This window comes from Homo sapiens, chromosome Y (assembly GCF_000001405.40).
Source record: "Homo sapiens chromosome Y, GRCh38.p14 Primary Assembly".
Taxonomy (NCBI): domain Eukaryota; kingdom Metazoa; phylum Chordata; class Mammalia; order Primates; family Hominidae; genus Homo; species Homo sapiens.
Window position 1 is genome coordinate 7,385,792 of NC_000024.10, and position 12,176 is coordinate 7,397,967.

Consider the following 12,176-nt stretch of genomic DNA (forward strand, 5'->3'; position numbering starts at 1 on the left):
GAAGGATCAGAGTGCCTGGACTGGAGAAGTGGCCTAGACTGTGGGCCAGTGCCTGACCAAACAGATGAAGGCTATCCCTAAACCTTTGGGGCAAGACCATCCATGTAAGTTGGGACATGTGGTCTGTGGGATCCTCAAAGGCAAAGAGAAACTGAGAGAGTGCAGCGGAATACAGAAAAAGGCATCTTGGAGGTCCCGAACAGTGAACCATTCTGTTTCCTCTGGTATTTGAGAGATGAGGGTATAGGGGTTGGGTATAACTGGATATAGAGGAATTACTGCCTCATTGATGAGTCTAAGCTCTTGCACTAGTCTCCACTGACCATTTGGTTTTTGAACTCCTAGAATTGGGGTGTTGCAAGGACTGCTGCATTTCCTTACTAAGCCTTGAGCTTTTAAATGTTTAACAATATCCTGTAATCCTTTATGAGCTTCAGGCCTTAAGACATATTGCCATTGATAAGGAAAAGTGATGGGAACTTTTAGCCTGATTTGGACTGGGAGGGCATTTTTTGCCCTTCCAAATTGTCCTTCCAATCCCCAGACTTCAGGGTTGATTCCCTCCTCAAGTAGGGCACAGCAAATGGGTAACTTGTTCCCCATATTCATGTGGATAATAAGTCCAGTTTTGGCTAATATATCCCTCCCTAATAAGAGTGTGGGACTTTCAGGCATAACAAGAAAGGCGTGTGAAAAGAGCAAAATCTCCCAATTCCAACTGAGGAGGTGGGAGAAATCCCTGGTTACAGGCTGTCCCAGGATTCCTCAGATGGTAATGGACCTTGAGGACAGTCATCAAGGACAGGAGATTAACACTGAGAAGGCTGTGCCAGTGTCCAGGAGGAAGTCAATTTCCTGGACCTCAATGGTTATACATACACAGGGCTCAGTGAGGGTGGTGATATGTGTTGGCACTTGCCCTGGGCACCCTCAGTCCTGTTGTTGGATCATCTGGTTGGGGGCTTCTGGCCCAGAGAACCAATGCATTCTGGGGCAGTCTGCCTTCCAGTGATTGCCTTGGCATAGTGGACATGGATGAGGGGGCAGCTTGTTTCTCTTTGGACAGTCTTTTTTAAAGTGTCCTTGTAAGCCACACTGATAACAAGCCCTACCAGGTGATTGGCCTGCTCCATTTTCTGTCCTTTCTGAACCACCAAGTTTGTTTATTTGAGGGCCATGACTAAGGCTGTGGCCTTTCTTTCATCTCGCTTTTCCTCTTGGGCCTGTTTCTTTTGGTCCCTATTATACAATACCAAGGTTGCCTCCAGATTTTGTTCAGGGCACAGGGCTCACTTGTGGAGCTTTCTCCTGATATCTGTGATTGGGTAATAACCTTATGTTTTAGGATCAGTTGACCCTCTAGTGAGTCTGGTGACAGGGGAGTATATTTTCTTAGGCCTCCCATAGCCCCTTGAGGAAGACAGAAGGATTTTCTTTCTTTCCCTGAGTTATGGTGGACATGATTGAATAATTCATGGGATGTTTCCTAATTCTCCTTAGTGCTTCTAGAACACAAGTCAGCAAATGTTTATGACTCCAGTCCCCATGATCTGAGTCAAGGTCCCAGTGGGGATCCATACTGGGGATGGCTTGCTGACTGGTATGGAATTTGTCCCTTTCTTCAGCTGTCATTCTATCATTTACTTGATTAAGATACCAGGTATCTCCAAACTCTTAGGCTGCAGCTAAAGCCACATTCTTTTCATTGAAGGCGAGGGTTTGATCTAACAATAGCATGACATCTCTCCAAGTGAGATCAAAGGTTTGCCCTAGACTCTGTAGAACATCCATGCACCTATCAGGATCATCTGAAAACTTCCCCAGGTCTGCGTTGATCTGCTTTAAATCAGAGAGGGAGAAGGGGACATGTAGCCGGGTTGGGCCAAATTCCCCTCCCCCTACAGCTTGAAGGGGACATAACCGATAGCCCAGGTTTTTGTGGTCCTTTAGATATTTCTTTGCTTATTTCCTTCTGGGTGGGGGAGATTAGAGGAGGCTTATCATTAATAGAAAGAGGAGTTATAGGGAGGCTAGGATATGGGGGTAAGCTGAGAGGTCCTCCTGTGGGATGTAAATTGCAAGCTTTGCATAGTTGTGTATTCTCCTTCAGTGAAAAGAAAGCTTGGACATAAGGTATTTCAGTCCATTTGCCTTTGCTCTTACAGAAAAGGTCAAGCTGCCAGATAGTATTGTGATTTGTACTTTCAGGTGGCCATTTTTCCCCATCAGAGAGAGAATATTGGGGCCAAGCCACGGTGCAGAAAAAAAAAAAAAAAAAATGAGCCACCTCTTTTTCAGGGTTTGCAGGTCAGTTTGGTCCCAATGGCTTAGGATGCATTTCAAAGGTTAGCCTGTTGATGCCTGAGTGTTTCCCATTTGAAAGACAAAACTGCCTGTGGTTTTGGTTTGTTTTGCCCACCCACACAAGAACCCACAGTGGTCCCTGGACCATGCTGATTGGAAAAGTTGCACTCACCGACATAGCAGCAGAAACATCTCTTGCCCAAGAACCCACAACAGTCTCTGGACCTTGCTGATCTGCATAGTTGCACTCAGCGATGCAGCAGAAGAAACACTAGTTTTCCTCCTAGACCACAAGGTGGACCGAGGAAGATCGGATTTAGTAGCCCTATCCAACGCATTCTCGAAAAACTGTTAGAGTCCTAAACATTCTTTTGTTAGTATTTGGACTTTACCCCTGTCCTATAAAGATGTTATGCCCCACAAATGAAGTGGAGGTCCATACCCTGAGGGAGGGAAGCATCTCCAGGGTTGGAAGAGTGACACTTTTTGTCCTCACTTGAATAGGAAGGATATCATTTCTGAAGCTCACCATTATCATAGCTTCAGGAATAGCTTTTGTTAGGCCTGCTAGTTTGAGGAGGATCCTAAAATTCCAGATAGTCCCCTCTATAACAGGGCTTTGGGCAAATATTATGTCTTTCTGATTGGTGAGCCCAGGTGCTTTAAAAAGGTAACAGAGTTCTGGAATTTATACTAGAAATCATTCTTACAGGAGAAACTAGAAAAGCACCAGAGACCAGGAGAGGTTTTTAGAAGTGAGACTAGCCTCAGAGAAGAGAGGAGAGAGGAAGTTTGTCTGAAAGGCATTAGGACCCAGCAAGCAAGGATCAGGATAGATAGGATAGATGGGCAAGTCGCTTGGGCGACATGACTTTGAGAGTTCCACTCATGGCCACAGGGTCAACCAACTTGCGTCAGGACCCAGGAGCTGAATGGCTTTCCTCTCTGTCGACTCTTGGCTCAGCCCAGAAGTACAGGAAAAGCAGAAGCTGGTTCCAGGCAAACCAACTTTCCCAACTCTGAAGAGTTGGGGATTGTTAGAGAGCTCTTTCCCAGAAAGCCTGACACTCATGTCTTTAGTCCAGTGTCCACACTAGTTGCTTTTAACTGGCTGACAGCTGCCTGGTATTTAGCCCCTGATTCTAAGGAAAAATAGGACAGAATAGCAAGTGAAAGGGGTCCAATGGTGGTTACCACTTGGCGATAGTTGATAGTCCCATCTGGGTCACCAAAATGTATCTGGAATTGGTTCCTTCAGTTGTGTTTTTGGTCTTGCTGACTTCAAGAATGAAGCCGCGGACCCTCATGGTGAGTGTTACAGTTCTTAAAGATGATATGTCTGGAGTTTGTTCCTTCCAGTGTTCAAATATGTCCAGAGTTTCTTCCTTCCAGTGGGTTCATGGTCTCGCTTGACTTCAGGATTGGAGCTGCAGACCTTCGCAGTGAGTGTTACAGCTCTTAAAGCTAGTGCAGACCCAAAGAGTGAGCAGCAGCAAGATTTATTGTGAAGAGTGAAAGAACAAAGCTTCCACAGCATGGAATGGGACCCAAGCTGCTGGCTCAGGTGGCCAGCTTTTATTCCCTTATTTGGCTCTGCCCGCATCCTGCTGCTTGGTCCATTTTACAGAGAGCTGATTGGTCCATTTTACAGAGTGCTGATTCATCCATTTTACAGAGGGTGATTGGTTCATTTTACAGAGTGCAGATTGGAGCGTTTACAATCCTTTAACTAGACACCAAGCACTGATTGGTACATTTTTATGGAGTGCTGATTGGTGCATTTACAAACCTTTAGCCAAACACAGAGCACTGATTGGTGTGTTTTTACAGAGTGCTGATTGGTGCATTTACAAACCTTTAGCTAGACACAGAGCACTGATGAGTGCATTTTTACAGAGGGCTGATTGGTGCATTTACAATCCTTTAGCTAGACACAGAGTGCTGATTGGTGCGTTTTTACAGAGTGCTGATTCGTGCATTTACAATCCTCTAGCTAGACAGAAAAGTTCTCCAAGTCCCCACTCGACCCAGGAAGTCCAGCCGGCTTCACTTCTCATTAGGACTGACAAAGTGGACTCTTGAGAGCAGTAAGACACCACATTCCAGCCTGATTCTAGCACATCCTGACTCTGGCACATCACCCCATGACAGACAGCAAGCACTAAGGAAATCAAAGCATTTCACTCCAAATCATATTTCTTTAACATATTTTGAAATAGTCCTGCCAGGCTGTCTCATGTGGGAAAAATCTACATTCTGAAGAGAGTCCCATTCCTTTTCTAGGCCTGATTCTCAATCCAGGAGAGAATCAACTCTGACAAGAAACATTTACAATCTAGGCCATGCGTGGTGGCTCATGTCTGTAACCCTAGCATTTTTGGAGGCCGAGGCAGACGGATCACTTGAGGCCAAGAGTTCATGACCAGCCTGACCAACATCGTGAAACCTGTTTCTACTAAAAATACAAAAAATTAGCCAGGCATGGTGGCACATGCCTAATCCCAGCTGCTTGGGAGGCTGAGGCAGGAGAATCAGTTGAACCCAGGAGGCAGAGGTTGCAGTGAGCTGAGATCACACCATTGCAGTCCAGTCTGGGCAACAAGAATGAAACCCCATCTCAAAAAAAAAAAAAAAAAAAAAAAAAGACAAAGAAACATATACAATCTATTCTTCCCTAAGTCTGCTGCCTGGAGGCTTCATCTGTATCTGTGGAACCTGGGGCTCCACAACTCCTCATAATGAAGACAAAGTTCTGATTTTTTCTTATCTTGCCCAAATTCCTATCTGAGTGGTCTGAGGAGTGATGCCTACAAATCATAAATTCTCATCAGATTTATTTAACTCTATATGTCATGACTTACTTTCCAGTCTGACTCTGGCATAACATTACCTGATGAAGAAAATCAAATTATTTTACCCCAAAACATGTTTCTTTGCCATATTTTAAAATGTCCCTACAAAGCCATCCTTTGTGGGGGAAATTTTGCATCTGTAGAGAATCTCTATTTACATAGCTAGATCTTTTTCTTCCAGACCCTCCCAATTCTAAAGAGAGTAACGTAGATTCTAGCACGTTTTTGAAGATCTGAATAGGAAACATTCATTATCTATTGTCTCTAAGGACAGCCACTATAAGACTTCAAAAGAACCTTGGTCTTCACAATCTTTTATCTCAACCTGAACATTTCCTTTCCATCAATCCCAGGTCTTTAGACAAACTCAACCAATTGTCAATGAGAAAATGTTCACATTTACCAATAGCCTGAAAGCCCCTATCCTCTACTCCTCTCTTTGAATTTTCCTGCTTTTCTGGACCAAACCATTGCATTTCTCAAATGTATTTGATTGATGTCTCATGCCTTCCTAAAATATGTAAAGCCAAGCTGCACCCCATCCACTTTGGGGACATATTCTCAGGTCCTACTGAAAGCTGTGTCACAGGCCATGGTCGCTCATATTTGGCTCAGAATACATCTCTTCAAATATTTGACAGAGTTTGACTCTTTACATCAACAATAACCCACATACTCCCTTCTATTGATTCCAGGTCTTTAGATAATAACTCTTTCAACCAACTGCCAATAAGGAAATCTTTCAATCTATCTGTAATGTGGAAGCTGCCCACTCTTCTAGTTGTTCTGACTTTCCAAACCAGACCAATGTACATGTTATATGTTTTGATTAATGTCTAATGTCTCCCTACAATGTATAAAACCAAGCTGTGCCCCAACCACCATGGGAACATATTCTCAGGGTCCCCTGGGGCTGTGTCACAGGCTATTAATTACTTATATCTGGCTCAGAACAAATCTCTTCAAACATTTTACAGAGTTTGACATTTTTCATTAGCAACAGTAAACATATTCATACAATCTTCCATTGGTTATTTTCAACTTATATTATGCACCAGAAAACCCACGTGTTTGAGGGTATTTATGTGATGATGCTATCCCTGCAGGCAGGGCAAAGAACTGCAGATACAGAAGTGAGTGAGCATGGGATCCATCAACATGGGCCAAGGAGGAAGTGTTACAGGAAAGGGGTTGTGATCCAGACCCCAGGAGAGGGTTCTTGGATGTTGCACAGGAAAGATTTCAGGGTGAGTCTGCAGTGCAAAATAAAAGCAAGTTTATTAAGAAAGTAAAGTGGTGAAAGAACAGAGCTACTACATAGACAGAGTAGGATGTTCTTGACAGAGGAGGAAAGTGTCCACCTTAGGTAAAATGCTTGTGTTGGGACAACTAAGTTCCTCTTCAAAGACTCCCTGGTTATAAGTTGTAAAAGGTGTAAATAAACCCTACCCCCTTTTTCTTCCTCCTTCTCCTTTTCTCACAAATCACACATTTACCCTATCTGGACAAAGTTTAGGTCTAAGCCAATGTGGGATCAGCTTAGATTGTGTGGCCCAACCCCAGCCAACAGGGGAAGGACACAGAAGCAGGAACTGCCTTAGGGTTAAAAATCCCTTCATTCCTTTGTTTGATGTGCTCTTGCAATTGCATCAGGCACAGGCAGCACCTTTCTGCAGAAATAAAGTTGCCTTGCTGAGAAAGTTTCTGTCTAAGTTCTGGTTTTTCTTTGTGGCACTGAGGACTTGTTTCTAACAACTTAGGGGCTCATCTGGGATCCCATTCTCTTTCAGGAAGGACTAGTGATTATATTTCATGGGAAGATGCATCCCACTGCCTTGTTTTTATGGCCCCGGCGCGATTTTCCTGTCAGTTGATTATACTGAACTGCCAAGGCTAAGAGGGACCTAAAATTCCCACAAGGAAAGCAGCCAATAAGGTTGAAGCAAATGCTCAGCAGAGAGTAAGAAAACTCCATTGGGAAAAAGGGGCGTTTAGCCTCCAGGATACGAAAGTGCAAGAAATCTTTAATACAAGAGATTGAACCCTACCAAAATGGGAGGTTTAGCCTCCAGGAATGGGAGTGCAATAAATCTCTAATACAAGAGATTGAGCCTCACCAACCTCCAGGATGGGAAATGACAGGTAAGACAGGGACTACAAAAGACCAAGCAGACAATAAAATTCCCCCTGACAGTCCGCTAGGCCTTATGTTAAGATACCGGAAAGATAATGAAAGGACCAAACACAAGAAAAGACAGCAAATGATAAAATATTGCTGTTTTATTTGGACTAAGGAACCCATCCTGAAACCTTTGGTCTTTTGGCCACAGTTAGGGTTGAGCGGGGACTGGATATGCCAACTCCTAATCCAGTATGTAAATGATAAAAGTCCAGTTTCTCAAGAGGAGATAGATTATGGAGACAGGGACTTGTCCTTCTCTACCCCCTAAAGAATGAAAAAGCAAAGCTGAACTCAAAGCCCCCAAAAGTCAACCTAGCTAAGTTGTATTCTACATCTAAAGATGCATGGGATCCTTTAGACCACCTTTCCCCACCTAACCCTCTGCCTCAAGCTGAACACTCAGTCCCTTCTCCATATAATCCTGCCCCAAGGACCTTAACACTACACACCCCTTCTGGATTGCCACTCAAACATCCCCCTCCTTAGAAAAGCTCCAACAGGAAATGGAACAATCCCAAAGGGATCTTCAACACTTTTCTTTCCCCTCTTCCTCAAAGAAGTCTGTTCCAACCCTTTTTCTCTTAAACGAAGTACCACTAGGAGGGGGTGATATTGGCTTCATAAATACCCCCTTAACAAGCTCAGAGATTAGGAATCTAAAAAGGAACTCAGATCACTGGTAGATGATCTTTTGGAGTTGAAAGTCAAATTGACCAATTTCTAGGGCCACAATTGTACACTTGAGCTGAATTAATGTCTATCCTAGATATTCTCAGGAAAGGAAAGAACCATGTTCCACAAGGCCACTATGACAATCTGGGAGCATGAACACCCTCCTGGTCAAAATATCCTTGCAGGAGAGCATAAATTCCTGGCCCAGGACCCTCAGCGGGATAACAACATGCAGCCCACCGAGAGAACTTGAGCGATCTCAGAGATATGAGAATTAAAAGGATTAGGGAATCAGTTCCTCAAACTCAAAATATCTCCCAAGCATTTAATGTACAACAAGGGAAAGATGAAGGGCCTTTGGAATTCTTAAACAGACTTAAGAAACAGATGAGAAAATATGCATGTTTAGACACAGAGGACCCACTGGGACAAGTGATGCTAAAGCTCCACTTTGTCATCAATAGTTGGCTGGACATCACAAAGAAATTACAAATGATAGAAAACCAAAAAGACCATCCCATAGAGGAATTTTTAAGAGAGGCCCAACAGGTATACGTACAGAGGGATGAGGAAAGGCAGAAGCAAAAGGCAGAAATTATGCTGTCCACCCTACAAAAGGGAACTCTTCAACAGGGAGACCAGGGAAGTATAACTTGTAAACCTAAGTACCCGGCTAGCACACCCTACCCAGGAGGCAAAAGGATAAAATCTGAAAATCAGGAAATAGGGAAGGGAAAACAAATGTTTCAGGTGTGGAAAGCCAGGTCATTTAAAAAAGGAATATCCTGAATGGGAGAGAGAAAAGAAAGTCCTTCCATTCATGACATTTGAAGAATAGTAGGGGGTCAGGCACTCTACAGCTTTCATCTCAAGTCCCACCAAGAGCCCTTGATAAATTTAACATGGGACCCAAATCAAAGATAGTCACTTTCTTAGTCAATTCAGGAGCAGCTCGCTGCTCCCTATGTTTTCTCCCATCAGGTTTAGCATGCTCAGCAGTGGACCTTTCTGTCTCAGGAGTTAAAGGGGAAGGATTCAGGGCAAAAGTTCTAGAGTAAACTGAAGTCAAATATAATAATAAGTCACCCACTATTAAGTTCTTGCTGATTCCTGAAGCAGCAACTAACTTATTAGGAAGGGACTTGATGTTAGGGTTAGAAATAGGCCCATATGTTAATCAGGGAAAACTTACTTCCTTAAACCTGCTCACCACTTCTGAAGAAAGCCTAATCCATCCTGATGTATGGTCAAAGGAAGGAAATCAAGGAAAACTATAGTTTCCCCCAAACCATGTCAAATTAATAACTCCCAGGGAAGTAGTAAAAAGAAAACAATACTTTATTCCCTTGGAAGCCAGGATAGGTTTTAAACCTATTTGAAACCTAATTGAAAGCCTAATTGAAAGCCTTGTCCATGACGGACTCCTTGAATGCTGTATGTCTCCTTATAACACTCCAATATTGCCGTAAGGAAGCCAGTTGGGTCATACCGGCTAGTGCAAGACCTCCGGGCTATTAATCAAATAGTTCAAACCACCCAACCTGTTGTTCACAATCCTGACACCATTGTCAGTAGAATCCCACACGGCCATCAATGGTTCATGATGATAGATTTAGAGGATGCATTTTGAGCTTACTCTTTGGCAGAGGACAGCCGGGACATGTTTGCGTTTGAGTGGGAGGACCTTCACTCCAGTCGAAAACAACAGTACCGACGAAGAGTCTTGCCTCAGGGGTTTACAGAGTCCCTAGATGTGTCCATTCCATAGCAGCAATTGCCTTGCTAACAGAAGAAAGCAGGAAAATAACCTTTGGGGGAAATCTCATCATAAGTACCCCTCACCAAGTGAGAACCATTCTTTTATTATTATTATTATTATACTTTAAGTTTTAGGGTACATGTGCACAATGTGCAGGTTAGTTACATATGTATACATGTGCCATGCTGGTGTGCTGCACCCACTAACTCATCATCTAGCATTAGGTATATCTCCCAATGCTATCCCTCCCCCCTCCCCCCACCCCACAACAGGTCCCAGAGTGTGATGTTCCCCTTCCTGTGTCCATGTGTTCTCATTGTTCAATTCCCACCTATGAGTGAGAATATGCGGTGTTTGGTTTTTTGTCCTTGCGATAGTTTACTGAGAATGATGATTTCCAATTTCATCCATGTCCCTACAAAGGATATGAACTCCTCCTTTTTTATGGCTGCATAGTATTCCATGGTGTATATGTGCCACATTTTCTTAATGCAGTCTATCATTTTCGGACATTTGGGTTGGTTCCAACTCTTTGCTATTGTGAATAATGCCACAATAAACATACGTGTGCATGTGTCTTTATAGCAGCATGATTTATAGTCCTTTGGGTATATACCCAGTAATGGGATGGCAGGGTCAAATGGTATTTCTAGTTCTAGACCCTGAGGAATCACCACACTGACTTCCACAATGGTTGAACTAGTTTACAGTCCCACCAACAGTGTCAAAGTGTTCCTATTTCTCCACATCCTCTCCAGCACCTGTTGTTTCCTGTGTTTCCTGACTTTTTAATGATCGCCATGCTAACTGGCGTGAGATGGTATCTCATTGTGGTTTTGATTTGCATTTCTCTTATGGCCAGTGATGGTGAGCATTTTTTCATGTGTTTTTCAAACCTGAGAAAAACAAGCAATGGGGAAAGGATTCCCTATTTAATAAATGGTGCTGGGAAAACTGGCTAGCCATATGTAGAAAGCTGAAACTGCATCCCTTCCTTATACAAAAATCAATCCAAGATGGATTAAAGACTTAAACGTTAGACCTAAAACCATAAACACCCTAGAAGAAAACCTAGGCTTTGCCATTCAGGATATAGGCATGGGCAAGGACTTCATGTCTAAAACACCAAAAGCAATGGCAACAAAAGCCAAAATTGACAAATGGGATCTAATTAAACTAAAGAGCTTCTGCACAGCAAAAGAAACTACCATCAGAGTGAACAGGCAACCTACAAAATGGGAGAAAATTTTCACAACCTGCTCATCTGAGAAACGGCTAATATCCAGAATCTACAACGAACTCAAACAAATTTACAAGAAAAAAACAAACAACCCCATCAAAAAGTGGGCGAAGGACATGAGAACCATGCTTAATCAGAAGGCAGACAGGTGGCTCACTGACTCAAGAATTTTAAAATATGAAGCTATTGAGAGGGATGATGTAACACTAACCACTGATCATTCACTCAGTCCTGCTGCTTTCCTAACAGGAAACACAAACCCAGAAGAACCTGAACATAAATGCTTAGATCCAATCAGTTACCAAACCAGAGTCAGACTAGATTTAAGCAAGACTGCCTTCCAAACAGGGTGTCACTTCTTTATAGATGTCTCTTCCCAGGCATTGAAGCAAAAAGGCACAATGGGTATTGTGTAGTTGGTGGGAAACCCTCACAGAAGTAGAGTGAGGAATACTGCCAAATAACTGATCTGCCCAAACGTGAACTCTTTGCATTAAGCCAAGGCTTAAAATATCTGCAAATGAAGAGGGAACCATTTACACTGACTCTAAGTATGCCTTCAGAATAGTCCATACCTTTGGAAAAATCTGGACTGAATGAGCCGTCATCAATAGTACAGGCCAACATGTCATCCACAAGGAGTTAATTACACAGGTACTAGAAAATCTTCAGCTGCCAGAAGAAATTGCAGTTGTCCATGTCCCAGGACACCCAAAGAACTAATCTTTTAAAAGCCAGGGAAATAACTTTGCAGATCAAATAGCTAAGCAAGCTGCCTCTTCCCAGGAGTCACCCATTTTCCATCTAACCCCCATCTTCCCCTCCAGCTGCAATCTCCATCTTCTCCCACGCAGACCAAGAAAAACTAAAAAAATGAGGAGATGAGGAAAGCTCAGAGGGAAAGTGGGTATTACCAGATGGAAGAGAAATGTTGTCTAAACCCCTCATTTGGGAAATACTGTCACAGCTTCACCAAAGAACTCACTGGGGTCCTCAAGCTATGTGCAATGCGCCCCTCAGAACCTATTAGTGTATAGGGATATATACTGTAGCTAGGCAAGTGGCAGATGGTTTTATAGCGTGCAGAAAAACTAATAAGCAAGCTCTAAAAAGGCAGCCTTCCAGGGGAAGAAACCCAGGGTGAGGGTCACTCCAAAGCGTCCAATT